The sequence below is a fragment of the Homo sapiens genome, chromosome 9, assembly GCF_000001405.40.
Source record: "Homo sapiens chromosome 9, GRCh38.p14 Primary Assembly".
In the NCBI taxonomy this organism is placed as follows: Eukaryota; Metazoa; Chordata; class Mammalia; order Primates; family Hominidae; genus Homo; species Homo sapiens.
The window spans coordinates 70,223,895-70,240,865 of record NC_000009.12 but is presented as its reverse complement, the minus strand read 5'-3'; the positions used below and the strand labels follow the sequence as shown (position 1 = coordinate 70,240,865).

Below are 16,971 nucleotides of genomic sequence, written 5' to 3'. Positions count from 1 at the left end.
TTTATTCAGCTATGCCCTGCCCACAAAGGTGGAGTCTAGAGCAGTAGGCCTTGTTGAGCTGCGGTGGGTTCCTCCCAGTTCGAACTTCCCAGCCACTTTGTATACCTACTCAAGCCTCAGCAATGGCGGATGCCCCTCCCCCAGCCAGGCTGCCCCCTTCGCAGTTCGATCTCAGACTGCTGCGCTAGCAGTGAGCAAGGCTCTGTGGGCGTGGGACCTGCTAAGCCAGGCACAGGAGAGAATCTCCTTGTCTGCCGGTTGCTAAGACCTTGGGAAAAGCGCAGTATTTGGGTGGCAGTGTCCCGTTTTTCCAGGTGGTCTGTCACGGCTTCCCTTGGCTAGGAAAGGGAAATCCCCCAACCCCTTGCAATTCCTGAGTGAGGCAATGCCTCGCCCTGCTTCAGCTTGCCCTCTGTGGGCTGCACCCACTGTCCAACCAGTCCCAATGAGATGAACCAGGTACCTCAGTTGGAAATGCAGAAATCACCCGTCTTCTGCATTGATCATGCTGGGAGCTGCAGACTAGAGCTGTTCCTGTTTGGCCATCTTGGAACGCCCTCCTCTTAAGTTAATTTTTTAAGGTAATAAAATTCTCTCTGTATTAATTTAGCCACACCTCACAAATTTTGATACATAGTACTTTACCATGATACGTATATATATACACATATTGTCATACATTTATATGCATATCTATAAAATACATGATTTCTTCTTTTTTTTAATTATACTTCAAGTTCTTTAGTGCATGTGGAGAACGTGCAGGTTTGTTACATAGGTATACACATGCCATGGTCATTTGCTGTACTCATCAACCTGTCATCCACATTAGGTATTTCTCCTAATGCTGTCCCTCCCCTAGGCCCCCACCCTCAAACAGGCCCCGGTGTGTGATGTTCCCTTCCCTGTGTCCATGTGTTCTCATTGATCAACTCTCACTTATGAGTGAGAACATGCAGCATTTGGTTTTCGGTTCTTGTGTTAGTTTGCTGAGAATGATGGTTTCCAGTGTCATCCATGTCCCTCCAAAGGACATGAACTCATTCTTTTTTATGGCTGCATAGTATTCCATGGTGTATATGTGCCACATTTTCTTTATCCAGTCTATTATTGATGGGCATTTGGGTTGGTTCCAAGTATTTGCTATTGTGAACAGTGCCACAATAAACATACGTGTGCATGGTCTTTATAGTAGAATGATTTATAATCCTTTGGGTGTATACTCAATAATACGATGGCTGGGTCAAATAATATTTCCAGTTCTAGATCCTTGAGGAATCGCCACACTGTCTTCCACAATGGTTGAACTAATTTACACTCCCACCAACAGTGTAAAAACATTTCTATTTCTCCACATCCTCTCCAGCATCTGTTGCTTCCTGACTTTTTAATGATCGCCATTCGGACTGGTGTGAGATGGTATCTTCTCATGGTTTTGATTTGCATTTCTCTAATGACCACTGATGATGAGCTTTTTTTTTCATATGTTTGTTGGCTGCATAAATGTCTTCTTTTGGGAAGTGTCCGTTCATATCTTTTGCCCACTTTTTGATGGAGTTTTTTTTCTTGTAAATTTGTTTAAGTTCTTTGTAGATTCTGGATATTAGCCCTTTGTCAGATGAGTAGATTGCAAAAATTTTCTCCCATTCTGCAGGTTCCTGTTCACTCTGATGGTAGTTTCTTTTGCTGTGCAGAAGCTCTTTAGTTTAATTAGATCCCATTTGTCAATTTTGGCTTTTGTTGCCATTGCTTTTGGTGTTTTCGACATGAAGTCCTTGCCCATGCCTATGTCCTGAATGGTATTGCCTAGGTTTTCTTCTAGGGCTTTTATGGTTTTAGGTCTAACAGTTAAGTCTTTAATCTCTGTTGAATTAATTTTTGTATAAGGTATAAGGAAGGAATCCAGTTTCAGCTTTCTACATATGGCTAGCCAGTTTTCCCGACACCATTTGTTAAATAGGGAATTCTTTCCCCATTTCTTTTTTTTGTCAGGTTTGTCAAAGATCAGAGAGTTGTAGATGTGTGGTGTTATTTCTGAGGGCTCTGTTCTGTTCCATTGGTCCATATCTGTTTTGGTACCAGTACCATGCTGTTTTGGTAAATGTAGCCTTGTAGTATAGTTTGGAGTCAGGTAGCGTGATGCCTCCAGCTTTGTTCTTTTGGCTTAGGATTGTCTTGGCAATGTGGGCTCTTTTTTGGTTCCATATGAAATTTAACATAGTTTTTTCCAATTCTGTGAAGAAAGTAATTGGTAGCTTGATGGGGATAGCATTGAATGTATAAATTACCTTGGGCAGTATGACCATTTCCACAATATTGATTCTTCCTATCCATGAGCATGGAATGTTTTTCCAATTGTTTGTGTCCTCTTTTATTTCATTGAGCAGTGGTTTGTAGTTCTCCTTGAAGAGGTCCTTCACATCCCTTGTAAGTTGGATTCCTAGGTATTTTATTCTCTTTGAAGCAATTGTGAATGGGAGTTCACTCATGATTTGGCTCTCTGTTTGTCTGTTATTGGTGTATAAGAATGCTTGTGATTTTTGGACATTGGTTTTGTATCCTGAGACTTTGCTGAAGTTGCTTATCAGCCTAAGGAGATTTTGGACTGAGACAATGGGGTTTTATAGATACACAATCATGTCATCTGCAAACAGGGACAATTTGACTTCCTCTTTTCCTAATTTAATACCCTTTATTTCTTTCTCTTGCCTGATTGCCCTGGCCAGAACTTCCAACACTATGCTGAATAGTAGTGGTGAGAGAGGGCATCCCTGTCTTGTGCCAGTTTTCAAAGGGAATGCTCCCAGTTTTTGCCCATTCAGTATGATATTGGCTGTGGGTGTGTCATAAATAGCTCTTATTATTTTGAGATACGTCCCATCAATACCTAATTTATTGAGAGTTTTTAGCATGAAGGGCTGTTGAATTTTTCAAAGGCCTTTCCTTATCTGTTGAGATAATCATGTGGTTTTTGTCTTTGGTTCTGTTTATATACTGGATTACGTTTATTGATTTGCATATATTGAACCAGCTTTGCATCCCAGGGATGAAGACCACTTGATCATGGTGGATAAGCTTTTTGATGTGCTTCTGGATTCGGTTTGCCAGTATTTTATTGAGGATTTTTACATCGATGTTCATCAGGGATATTGGTCTAAAATTCTCTTTTTTTGTTGTGTCTCTGCCAGGCTTTGGTATCAGGATGATGCTGGCCTCCTAAAATGAGTTAGGAAGGATTCCCTCTTTTTCTGTTCATTGGAATAGGTTCAGAAGGAATGGTACCAGCTCCTCCTTGTACCTCTGGTAGAATTCAGCTGTGCATCCATCTGGTCCTGTACTTTTTTTGGTTGGTAAGCTATTAATTATTGCCTGAATTTCAGAGCCTGTTATTGGTCTATTCAGAGATTGAGCTTCTTCCTGGTTTAGTCTTGGGAGGATGTATGTGTCGAGGAATTTATACATTTCTTCTAGATTTTCTAGTTTATTTGCATAGAGGTGTTTATAGTATTCTCTGATGGTAGTTTGTATTTCTGTGGGATCATTGGTGATATCCCCTTTTTCATTTTTTATTGCATCTATTTGATTCTTCTGTCTTTTCTTCTTTATTAGTCTTGCTAGCAATCTATCAATTTTGTTGATCTTTTCAAAAAACCAGCTCCTGGATTCATTGATTTTTTGAAGGGTTTTTCGTGTCTCTATCTCCTTCAGTTCCGCTCTGATCTTAGTTGTTTCTTGCCTTCTGCTAGCTTTTGAATGTGTTTGCTCTTGCTTTTCTAGTTCTTTTAATTGTGATGTTAGGGTGTCAATTTCAGATCTTTCTTGCTTTCTCTTGTGGGCATTTAGTGCTATAAATTTCCCTCTACACACTTCTTTAAATGTGTCCCAGAGATTCTGGTATGTTGTGTCTTTGTTCTCGTTGATTTCAAAGAACATCTTAGTTTCTGCCTTCATTTCGTTATGTACCCAGTAGTCATTCAGGAACAGGTTGTTTAGTTTCCATGTAGTTGAGCGGTTTTGAGTGAGTTTCTTAATCCTGAGTTCTAGTTTGATTGCACTGTGGTCTGAGAGACAGTTTGTTATAATTTCTGTTCTTTTACATTTGCTGAGGAGTGCTTTACTTCCAACTATGTGGTCAATTTTGGAATAGGTGCGATGTGATGCTGAGAAGAATGTATATTCTGTTGATTTGGGGTGGAGAGTTCTGTAGATGTCTATTAGGTCCATTTGGTACAGAGCTGAATTGAATTCCTGGATATCCTTGTTAACTTTCTGTCTTGTTGATCTGTCTAATGTTGACAGTGGGTTGTTAAAGTCTCCCATTATTATTGTGTGGGAGTCTAAGTCTCTTTGTAGGTCTCTAAGGACTTGCTTTATGCATCTGGATGCTCCTGTATTGGGTGCATATATATTGAGGATAGTGAGCTCTTCTTGTTGAATTGATCCCTTTACCATTATGTAATGGCCTTCTTTGTCTCTTTTGATCTTTGTTGGTTTAAAGTCTGCTTTATCAGAGACTAGGATTGCAACCCCTGCCTTTTTTTGTTTTCCATTTGCTTGGTAGATCTTCCTCCATCCCTTTATTTTGAGCCTATGTGTGTCTCGGTACTTGTGATGGATTTCCTGAATACAGCACACTGATGGGTCTTGATTCTTTATCCAATTTGCCAGTCTGTGTCTTTTAATTGGAGCATTTAGCCCATTTACATTTAAGGTTAATATTGTTATGTGTGAATTTGATCCTGTCATTATGATGTTAGCTGGTTATTTTGCTCGTTAGTTGATGCAGTTTCTTCCTAGCCTTGATGGTCTTTACAATTTGGCATGTTTTTGCAGTGGCTGGTACTGGTTGTTCCTTTCCATGTTTAGTGCTTCCTTCAGGAGCTCTTGTAGGACAGGCCTGGTGGTGACAAAATCTGTCGGCATTTGCTTGTCCGTAAAGGATTTTATTTCTCCTTCACTTGTGAAGCTTAGTTTGGCTGGATATGAAATTCTGGGTTGAAAATTCTTTTCTTTAAGAATGTTGAATATTGGCCCCGACTCTCTTCTGGCTAGTAGAGTTTCTGCCAAGAGATCAGCTGTTAGTCTGATGGGCTTCCCTTTGTGGGTAACCTGACCTTTCTCTCTGGCTGCCCTTAACATTTGTTCCTTCATTTCCACTTTGGTGAATCTGACAATTATGTGTCTTGGAGTTGCTCTTCTCAAGGAGTATCTTTGTGGCATTCTCTGTATTTCCTGAATTTGAACGTTGGCCTGCCTTGCTAGGTTGGGGAAGTTCTCCTGGATAACATCCTGCAGAGTGTTTTCCAACTTGGTTCCATTCTCCCTGTCACTTTCAGGTACACCAAGCAGACATAGATTCGGTGTTTTCACATAGTCCCATATTTCTTGGAGGCTTTGTTTGTTTATTTTTACTCTTTTTTCTCTAAACTTCTTTTCTCACTTCATTTCATTCATTTGACCTTCCATCATGGAAACGCTTTCTTCCATTTGATCGAATTGGCTACTGAAGCTTGTGCATTCGTCACGTAGTTCTCGTGCCATGGTTTTCAGCTCCATCAGATCCATTAAGGACTTCTTTGCATTGGTTATTCTAGTTAGCCATTCATCTAATCTTTTTTCAAGGTTTTTAACTTATTTGTGATGGGTTCGAACTTCCTCCTTTAGCTCGGAGAATTTTGATCATCTGAAGCCTTCTTCTCTCAACTGGTCAAAGTCATTCTCCATCCAGCTTTGTTCTGTTGCTGATGAGGAGCTGCCTTCCTTTGGAGGAGGAGAGGTGCTCTGATTTTTAGAATTTTCAGTTTTTCTGTTCTGTTTTTTCCCCATCTTTGTGGTTTTTCTCTACCTTTGGTCTTTGATGATAGTGATGTACAGATGGGGTTTTGGTATAGATGTCCTTTCTGTTTGTTAGTTTTCCTTTTAAACAGTCAGGACCCTCAGCTGCAGGTCTGTTGGAGTTTGCTGGAGGTCCACTCCAGACTCTGTTTGCCTGGGTATCAGCAGTGGAGGCTGCAGAACTGCGAATATTGCTGAACAGCAAATGTTGCTGTCTGATCATTCCTCTGGAGGTTTCGTCTCAGAGGGGTACCCGGCTGTGTGAGGTGTCAGTCTGCTCCTATTTGGGGGTGCCTCCCAGATAGGCTTCTCGGGGGTCAGGGACCCACTTGAGGAGGCAGTCTCTCCGTTCTCAGATCTCAGACTCTGTGCTGGGGGAACCACTACTCTCTTCAAAGCTGTCAGACAGGGACATTTAAGTCTGCAGAGGTTTCTGCTGCCTTTTGTTCAGCTATGCCCTGCCCCCAGAGGTGGAGTCTACAGGGGCAGGCAGGCCTCCTTGAGCTATGGTGGGCTCCACCCAGTTCGAGCTTCCTGGCTGCTTTGTTTACCTACTCAAGCCTCAGCAATGGCAGGCACCCCTCCCCCTGCCTCACTGCCGCCTTGCAGTTGGATCTCAGACTGCTGTCCTAGCAGTGAGCGAGGCTCCGTGGGCATGGGACCCTCCGAGCCAGGCGTGGGATATAACCTCCTGGTGTGCCGTTTGCTAAGACCATTGGAAAAGCACAGTATCAGGGTGGGAGTGTCCCGATTTTCTAGGTGCTGTCTGTCACAGTTTTGCTTGGCTATGAAAGGGAATTCCCTGACCCCTTGTGCTTTCCGGGTGAGGCGATGTCTTGCCCTGCTTTGGCTCACCCTCAGTGCACTGCACCCACTGTCCTGCACCCACTGTCTGACACTCCCCAGTGAGATGAACCCGGTATGTCAGTTGGAAATGCAGAAATCACCCGTATTCTGCATCGCTCACGCTGGGAGCTGTAGACTGGAGCTGTTCCTATTCAGCCATCTTGGACAGATTTGGTCTTTTCACAGAGTCCCATATTTCTTGGGACTTTGTTTGTTTCTTTTCACTCTTTTTTCTCTAATCTTGTCGTCTTGCTTTATTTCATTGAGTTGATCTTCAATCTCTGATATCCTTTCTTCCACTTGATCGATTCGGCTATTGATACTTGTGTATGCTTCACAAAGTTCTCGTCCTGTGTTTTTCAGCTCCATCAGGTCATTCATGCTTTTCTCTAAACTGGTTATTCTAGTTAGCAATTTGTCTAACCTTTTTTCAAGATTCTTAGCTTCCTTGCATTGGGTTAGAACATCCTCCTTTAGCTCGGGGGAGTTTGTTATTGCCCACCTTCTGAAGCCTACTTCTGTCAACTTGTCAAACTCGTTCTCCATACATGTTTGTTCCCTTGCTGGCGAGGATTTGGGATCCTTTGGAGGAGAAGATGTGATCTGGGTTTTGGAATTTTCAGCCTTTTTGTGTTGGTTTCTCCCCATCTTCATAGATTTATCTACCTTTGGTCTTTGAAGTTGGTGACCTTTGGCTGGGGTCTCTGAGTGGACGTCCTTTTTATTGATGTTGATACTGTTCCTTTCTGTTTGTTAATTTTGCTTCTAACAGTCAGTCCCCTCTGATGCAGGTATGCTGGAGTTTGCTGGAGTTCTGCTCCAGAACCTGTCTGCTTGGGTATCACTAGCGGAGGCTGCGGAACAGCAAATATTGCTGCCTGTTCCTTCCTCGGGAAGCTTCGTCCCAGAGGGGCACCTGCCAGATGCCAGCCAGAGCTTTCCTGTTTGAGGTGTCTGTTGGCCCCTACTGGGAGGTGTCTCCCAGTCAGGTACATGGGGGTCATGGACCCACTTGAGGAGGCAGGCTGTCCCTTATCAGAGCTCGAATGCTATCCTGGGAGATCTGCTGCTCTCTTCAGAGCTTACAGGTAGGGACATTTAAGTCTGCTGAAGTTGCACCCACAACCACCCCTTCCCCAATGTGCTCTGTCCCAGGGAGATGGGGGTTTTATCTATAAGTCCCTGACTGGGGCTGTTGCCTTTTTTTTCAGAGATGCCCTGCTCAGAGAGGAGGGAATCTAGAGAGGCAGTCTGGCTGCAGTGGCCTTGCTGAGCTGCAGTGGGCTCTGCCCAGTTCAAACTTCTGGGCGGCTTTCTTTACACTGTGAAGGTATAACTGCCTACCTAAGCCTCAGCAATGGCAGTCGCCCCTCCTCCCACCAAGCTGGAGCATCCCAGGTCGAGATTATACTGCTGTGGTGGTGCAAGAATTTCAAGCTATTGGATCTCAGCTTGCTGGGCTCCGTGGGGGTGGGACCTGCTGAGCCAGACCACTTGGCTCCCTGGCTTCAGTCCCCTTTCCAGGGGAGTGTCTCACTGGCATTCCAGGCACCACTGGGGTATGAAAAAAAAACTCCTGTGACTAGCTTGGTGTCTGCCAAATGGCCACCCAGTTTTGTGCTGTAAACTCAGGGCCCTGGTGGTACAGGGTGTAGGTACTGGAGGGAATCTCCTGGTCTGCAGGTTGTGAAGAACGTGGGAAAAGTGCAGTATCTGGGCCTGAGTGCATGGTACAGTCCCTAATGGCTTTACTTGGCTAGGAGAGGCAGTTCCCCAACCCCTTGCACTTTCCCGGTGAGGTGATGCCCCACCCTGCTTCTGTTCCCCCAACTTTGACTGCACCCACTGTCCAACCAGTCCCAATGAGATGACTCAGGTACCTAAGCTGGAAATGCAGAAATCACCCACCTTCTGCATCGATCTCAGTGGGAGCTGCAGACCGGAGCTGTTCCTATTTGGCCATCTTGCCAGCAAAAATACCATGATTTCTTTCTTATCTGAAAATGACATTATTTCGTCCTCATTCTGGTTGAATATTATTTCCTCTTAACATTTTAAGGTTTTTATTTCCCTGTCTTCTCACTTGCTTCATTATTGACGGGTTAGATTTTGTTTAATTTTCATTCATTTGTAGTTCATCTGTCTTTTCATTTTGGTTGCATTTTTCTCTTTGATTTTGGTGTTCCATAATTTCATAAAGTATTTAGGTATAGATTTATTTTTATTTATATTGCTCAGAATTTACTGAACTTCATGATTTTGAACATTTTTGTCTATAATCAATTCTGAAACAGTCTCAAATATTCTCCCTTTGAGCATTACCTCTCCCCCATTCTCTTTTTCTGTCACTGATTTCAATACATTGACTCTCATTCCTATTCTTTTTCATGTTTTCCATTTCTTTATCTCTCTGTGCTGTACTCAGCTTTATTACCTTGTATTCCAGTTCATCATTCTCTTTCTATTAGATATGGCTAATTGCTTGTTTGTCTTTCACACTGAATTTTTAATTTTATGACTATTATTTATTATATGCAGAAGTTCTATTCGGTTTTTAAAAAATCTACCTGCTTTTTGCTGGGTGCAGTGCCATGTGCCTATAGTCCCCGCTATTTGAAAGGCTGAGGTAGGAGGATCACTTAAGCCCAGAGTTTCAGGCTATAGTGCACCATGATTGTGCCTATGGATAGCCACTGTACTCCAGTCTGGGCAACATAGTAAGACTCTCTCTCAAAACAAAAACAAAAATGAAAACAAAAACTATCTGCATTTTCATAGAGTATTGGCTTCGTTATATCTTTTTCTAATCATTTTAAAAAATACTTAAAGTGTCTACAAACAATTTTCATCTTATGAAGTCTTGGGTATATAATTCTTCTGTTTCTTAGCAGCTGATTTTTGCTGTTAGTGGATTCTTTCACAAAACGTTCTGTAGTTTTGGATTGTGAGCTTTCTTTAGTGCAGTTTTATATGTGTGAACTCTGCACAGCCTAGGTTGAGTGCACAGTCCCCTAAAGAATTTTATATTAATTTCAACCAGGTGCCCCAAGAATATCACTGGCCAGGGACATATTCTCACATTAAACTTTGAGCTTGTGGATTCCCAGATCATGAGGTCAGGGTAATTTTGCACTCTAAATTTGTGTAATATAACTAGGAATTCTCAAGGAAGAACTCCTATCCCCCATACCACAGTCTAAATGGAGAAGAGTTGGCATCCTACCAATCTCCCTGTGCTGAAGGAAGATTTCTATTTTTATTTTATTGTCTGGATTTACCCTTTTAGTAAAAATGTAGCTCTTCAAGAGTCTTGGGCTTATTTGTGAAGTCTCTGTTCTATCCTCCCCACCCTTGGCAGGCTCTTTTCTGATCCCTTTATGGCTTAAGAGCCTAAGCCCCCAGGTTACCAAGACTGACAACCTCCCTCCAGGTAGCTATAGCGTCAGCTTATGTACTTATATCTCTGCTTTTCAGTTCTCTTTTTCAAAGCAGAGGAGGGGTTGCAGAGGGTGTCTGGACATTTCCCTTACTTTCCTACCAGCTTAGGTATTCATTTACAATAAAGGTCGTCAAATTTCACCAAGAATTTTTAAATGTTTTGTCTTGTGTGTGTATGTGTACACATGTATATAGGGGAATGGGGCAGCGTTTAGATAATTTATTTTGCCACATAGAATACCTTCATGTTCTTAAGCATATAAATCTTGCCATGTTTGTTAATTTTTTGAATAAGCAATATGTTTATATGATATCAATAGGTATACATTGTGATGTTTCACTCACCTGCCTTTATGTATCTGTTTTCCATTTCCCCCCACCCTTTCTTGCCATATTTTTTTAATAGTCAGTGGGGTTTTTGATTTGGGTTCGAATTCACCGTGTATTTTTAAATATACAAGTATTCACGGTGCAGCCTGGTTCGTTTATGAAATGTTAGAGGCTGGGATTATCTGGGGAGAGTAATGTCCAGACAAATATATTAAAATGACCAGTGAAATTGTGATGGATCAAAGAGCACCATTATATTCCTTGTGATTTTTGAAACCTACATGCATGTTTGTACTAAACGAAATGCTTTTACTAAGCATTTGTTTATTTAATCCAGAAATCTTTGTTGAGTATGCTAGGCAGTGGGGGTACAAAACTGAGTAAGTGAGCATTCTTGAGGAGATAAACAAGAAGTTAGCTTTAGCAATGGTACATTTTGCTAGGGGCAAGTGGGATTTTGCTAGGGGCAAGTGGGATTTTGCTAGGGGCAAGTGGAGTGGGAAGAACACAGGGGAAAGCATTACCCAGCTACTAGTCAAAATGAGTTGTACTGTGAGTAATAAAGAAAAAGATGATAAAATGACAAGATTATATGTTTGCTTTATCCTTAAGATGGCGCTGTAAACTCACAATTCCTTCGTAGAAAAAGAATACATAAAAATCACCATATTTATCTGAAATTTCACTGAAACCTTATAAACTGGAATGGCTTCTGTGTGTCTGAGACTGTTGTAGGTGCTCATATTATTCTCGTTTAATCTTTGCAGCAACCTAAGAAGCAGGAATAAGTCTTTGCCCCATTTTGCAGACTAAGAAAAGGAGTCAGAGAGGGTGTAAATGACTTGCCTTCAGTCACGTAGCTTGTAAGTGGCAGACCCGAGATTTAAACAGACAGCATAAATCCAGAAACAGGGTCCTTAATCACTGTGCCATATTACCTCTTTATAGTAATCCATATGTTGAAAATGCAGTGTCATTAGAATTATTAGTTACAAAAACTCAGGGTTTTTTTTTTTTTTTTTTCCAGTTCTGGTTAAATCACACAAGTCCCTGGCATGAGACCAAGAAGTCACAGAGCCCAGGTCTTAGCCCTCAGAGTGTGAGAGAAGACATGAAGGCATCAGGGACACTGTGCGAGTGGGCACTGCTGCTTTCCACTGCTCTCCCTAGACTGCAGCCAGGAGGCTGCCTCTGCCCTGCCAGGTCAGATTCCCCCAAGAGGCCCTCCCATAGCACCCTGGGCATATGGCCGTTTTGTACTTAGCACTCCGAACTGTGTTGACTGGTTTCTCTCTCTCTCCCTCACTAATCTGTGAGCATTTTTGTAACCTCCATGCTCCGTACAATGCCTGGAGCATAGATTTCTCAAGAAATCTTTGTTGAACCTTTTCTTCCTCCATATTAAACCAGACCTTGCATCACAGGCACTATTTTCTCAGTATTCAGTCCTTCACTCCCTTCTATACACAAATAATCTCCATCCTAGACAGGAAATTATAGGAGAGAAGGCAATCTGTGTGAGAAAGCAATTTCTATTTGAAGCACTTGTGTGTTTAGGTGCTGCTGAGAATTGCAATAAAAGCCAACACTGGGCTTAAATTGTTAAGCAGTATCTGTTAGCTAGCATTTCTTCTCCCTGGGCATTTCTAAACCTGAGAAACCTATAATGTGCTTACTGTCCTTCCATGTATTCATCCATGTGAAATATAGTTAAAATGAAGGTGAAATATAGTTGAAATGAATGCCAAAGGCAACTTGGAAAGGGAAAAGAAGCATCAAACAATCGAATTTTGTCGAAGAAGCATAAATGAGGGAAGGGGAGTTAAGCAGCTCACTTTCCACCTCCTTTTTTTCTCTTAGATTAACTTCAGGTTGTTTCTTAGCAACAACTGGTAAGAATTACCTCCTTTTCTGCTCTAAGCCAATATCCAGTACCCCAACCCCCACCCTCTTTTCCCCCAATTTCCAAAGTTGGCATCCCTAGTAGGATTCCCAGTTTAGCAACCTTAGAGGCAATTTTGGTAGCCAATAAATCCTGTTGAAAGAGGGAAACTTGGAATCTTTGCCTAGAGTGTAAATTGACATTGAGGATGGAGCTGGTAGGAGAGCTGGCACGTTCAGGAGGTGACCTTGTAAGGATAAAAACACAGCTGTGTCAGCGAAACAGACTCTTTGAACAATGTCTGAAAATAGTATTCAACAAATGTTAGCTGTGATTATTACTATGGATTTATGTTACCAGCAAGGAGGCTGGTGAATGACTTTATTCACTCACCACATATTATAACCCCCTTACTAGGTACCAGATACTGTGTTGAGTCCTGAATATGCAATCTTCACTCCTTAATTCAGCAAATACAGTAATTCAGCAAATAACAGTATTTTTATTATAGAAAAATATTTAATTTGTATTCTTGTAGTTTGAGACAGTATCGCAAAGTCCGTTTTCAGTCAAGCTTATATGATTGGGAAAAAATATTACCTCCACAGGGTCCTGCCTGAAATTTAACATCATCAATGGCAATATCACTTCTTATTGATAGCTCTGGACAGGAATAATGCTTTGGAGGAATTATGATGCCTAGCCTAGTACGCAGCTGAATAGGTCAACATCTTGAAATCTTCCTTCCCCAATGTTTCAGCTCTGTTTAGGGATTTCCTCCACTATAGGCAGTTAATCATAAATAGAAAGAATTTCATTTGCAAAATTTTGTTTTATTATAAAATTTTATTTTCTCCATAAACTTCAGAATATTTATTTTGTGTAGCTGAGAATTTTTTGTTTTCTTTGCATTCAGAAAGATAATGCTCTTAATAGATTAATTTATGAGTTTGGACACTCTTGAGTGGGAAACCCTCCCAACTTCAAGAAAACAATGGACTTTTGGCTAAAGTAGTAAAGAGGTATGAGCCTTTGAATCAGACCAGACTCTTAAATTCCTCCATTTAACAGATACAAAATCTTGAGTAATTTCTTCACTCTTTTGAGACTCTGTTTCCTTATCTGTGAAAGAGCTAAAATATTTCCATCTCACAGAAGTGGGAAAGACATTCATTCATTCAAGTATTTTTTTGTTGCACACTTACTATACCAGACACTTTCTGGGTACTGAGAATACAAAAGTAAACAAAACAGCAAGAAATGTTGTACTCCATGTTAGGATATAGAGTTTACATTCTAATGAGATAAAAAATTGAGATTGTCTATGTGAAATAAAGCATGCTATAAAAATTATTGTATCAGTGGAGTAAAAAGAGGTAAGGGAAAATTAAGAGAAAAAAGTAATAATTATTATATTAATGTATAGAGTGCTTATGTCACTAATAAAAAGGCTTAAGCATTTTGTTGTGGCAGAGTAGAGATTCAAATTAGAATCTGCAGTGTTGTAGTGAAGATACTCTGATAAAGACAAATAATGTAGAAATGAGTTAATTGCTAGTGAAAAGATTTTCAAATTATTTTTATTAGGTAATTTTATAATTTCATAGCAGCTGTTAGGATACACAAACATATATATACAATTTTCTAAACAAGTAAATAAAAGCAGTTTAGTATATCTGCCTGAATTCATATTATTCAAAATCTTACCAAAATATTTATTATAAAAATCAGTAAAATTGTTTAACACATTTATAAAAGTTGCTGGGTATGTATACATAAACATTTTAAGCTTGCTTTACAAAAAAAAGTTAAATTTCTATCCATGTGCTCATAGTGACTTCAAAGGTAGTTCAAAGGGGGAATAAAGAAGGTAGCATTGCCTTGTAATACAGCATTAATTAATACTGACTTACCCTTGGACATTCATGAAAGATCCTTTGTTATCACATATGGTGAAAATATTAAAAATTAATACTCCATTTCTATGAATAAAACATAGAAAATAAGACTTTATTTTTCCAGACTAACTCATTAGCATGAAAGACTGCATTCATTCTGCAGATATTACTGACACCCCGTATTATTTACTTTAAAAATATTTATGATACTTAAAATTCAAAAGGAAACCTGCAAGACCTATTTTTCTCCCAATACATTCACTGAATGCAGATTTAAATGAGTGCATCTCATTTTGATTGTGCCCTTTGTGTACTTTAAAATGACTACAATATAGTACATTTGTATTTTTAACTGGTACCAAAATTAAGATGAATGATCTATGCAAAACCAGTAGCCTGTATTTCTAGTAACAGTTGTCATATGCAAAAAGAAAAAAAGAGCCCTGAGTCAGTATGTTTTTGCAAAAGTAATGAAGGAGGGTGCTCTAAAGTCATTTTATAACTTATAAAATTGTTAAGACTGTCCAGTATTCATTTGCTTTGTTTTCATTTTGATTGAAGAGAGGTATGGTTTTCGTCTAGTAAATCCAATGCAGATCATTTCTTAATACTCAATTTCATTTAAGTCCTCAGAATATCCTGATGATTGTTGAGTTGTATCTTCCATTTCTGTCAGGAAAGACAAATATACAATAACAGTATTTTTATTATAGAAAAATATTTAATTTGTATTCTTGTAGTTTGAGACAGTATCGCAAAGTCCATTTTCAGTCAAGCTTATATGATTGGGAAAAAATATTACCTCCACAGGGTCCTGCCTGAAATTTAACATCATCAATGGCAATATCACTTCTTATTGATACTCCTCGAATGGCTTCAAAAATTATCTGAAAGAATAATATGTTTGAATTTAGAAATAGAATCATCCTGATTACAGTGCTGGTCAGGGCAGATCCAGGCTTTGTAAATATGAAAACGTAGATTGCTCTTGAGGATCCCTTTAAGGAAAAGGATACCAAATTACAAATTGAAATCTAGGTATTAAAGAGAATATTTATTTGGAATTTAAAGAAACACAATAAATTACTGAAGCCTTGAAGATTCAGGTCCCTGTCTTCTGAGATCTCTTTAGGCAATTTCCCAGAAATGCTTGCCTAGAAATGCTTCTTGGTGGTAACCTGGTTTCCTCTTCCCAATTGGAACACTCTTCTCCCAGCATCCCCCAGCACCCACACAGGGTCTGTGAAAGTGAGGGGCTCAGAAATTTAAATTTCCTTTAGCACTCCATAAATCTACCTTTGATACTGCTACGAGGTGGAAAAATTTAATATGACCGATGATACCCATGTGTGAACAGAAAAGCATAATGATGAAGTTTACCAAAGATAATGGTTCACTTATGTTAAATACCATAACATCAAAGACACAGCTCAGGCAGAAGAGAGAATCAGTTTTATAACTTCAGATTCTGAGAAGAAAATAACTGATCAGATATTGTGGTTGTAGGAAAAATAGATTACTTAACCAGCTCTAAGGCTGTCCCAACAATGGTTAACAAATTACTGAATAGTCCAGGGAGGCCCATGGGTAATGAAAGTTGTTCAGAAGACACATTTGCTCTATTCATTTTATAAGCAAGTGAGTCTTCATTGGAGTAGTTTATAATTTAAATAAAAAAGAAAGACCTTAAATTTTATTTAAACCCTCCCTAAAATTAAAGAATATAAATTAAATAATATGTTTATAAAGTTATCTTGAAATTAATGTTTCAAAGATGCTTCAGTGACAGACTGGTGGCAAAATACTCTTAATAAAAATGCTAAGGATCCAACTCGTGATGGTGGATTTCAGGTGTCAACTTGACTGGGTTAAGGGATACCCACATTGCTGGTAAAGCATTATTTCTCAGTATGTATGTGAGGGTGTTTCTGAAAGAGATTGGCGTTTGAATTGGTGGACTGAGAAAGGAAGATCTGTCCTCACCCAATGTGAGTGGGGACCATCAAATTGGTTGAGGATGCAGATAGAACAAAAAGGCAGAGGAGAAGCAAGTTTGCTCTCTCTTCTGTAACTGGGACACCCGTCTGCTTCTGTCCTTGGACATCAGAACTCTAGGTTCTTCAGTCTTCAGACTTCTGGAATTGTACCAGTGGCACCCTAGGTTCTCAGGCCTTTGGCTGCAGACTAATAGTTATACCATCGGCTTCTCTAGTTCTCAGGCCTTGGGATTTGGACTGAGCTATGGTACCAGCTTTCCTGGTTCTCCAGCTTGTATATAGCAATGGAAACCTTTGCTATATACAATGAGATGCTTGAATATAGCATCTCAGCCTTCATAATTATATGAGCCAATTTCTATAATACATCCCCTTTCATATCTCTCTCACCTTCTGTGTCTGTCTCTCTCTTTCTCCTCTTACTGGTTCGGTTTCTCTGGAGAACACTGATTAATACACAGTGCTAAATAAGAATCCAAATAAGTGGCAAGAAGAGGGAAAAAATGTCCTAACACACCTAGATAAAAGGACACCTGAGTGCACATAATAAGCATTTTGGTTCTCTGAACAACAATAAAATCTGTTTTTTTGGCCTTCAAGTCTGTAATGAAAAGAGTAATAAAATTACCTGAAGGAATTATATTCTGAATAGTCTATGATTTGGCCAGACACTTGATTTTATACAACTTTCTCCTCTGAAATTTCTTAATACAGTAGTGATCACCATTTTATAGTACTATGATTT

General features: G+C 39.9%; 1 protein-coding gene and 1 long non-coding RNA gene across 3 annotated transcripts in view; one reads left to right on the top strand and one right to left on the bottom strand.

The window, feature by feature from the left end:
- SMC5-DT (SMC5 divergent transcript) overlaps positions 1–16,971 on the top strand; it is a 42,816-nt gene that overhangs the window by 18,009 nt on the left and 7,836 nt on the right. Inside the window, exon 3 of the long non-coding RNA NR_039990.1 lies at positions 11,477–11,652. This is a non-coding gene — a long non-coding RNA (SMC5 divergent transcript). The remainder of the gene's footprint in view (positions 1–11,476; positions 11,653–16,971) is intronic.
- Positions 13,894–16,971, bottom strand: part of MAMDC2 (MAM domain containing 2) — a 183,392-nt gene continuing 180,314 nt past the window's right edge. For both annotated transcript variants that reach the window (NR_125850.1, NM_153267.5), the window contains exons 13-14: positions 15,032–15,116; positions 13,894–14,898 (exon numbers count right to left, since the gene is read on the bottom strand). Coding sequence is in view for 1 of the 2 variants with exons in the window: in NM_153267.5 (NP_694999.3) it covers positions 14,834–14,898; positions 15,032–15,116 (150 nt within the window). In the remaining variant the exon portion in view is untranslated. The remainder of the gene's footprint in view (positions 14,899–15,031; positions 15,117–16,971) is intronic.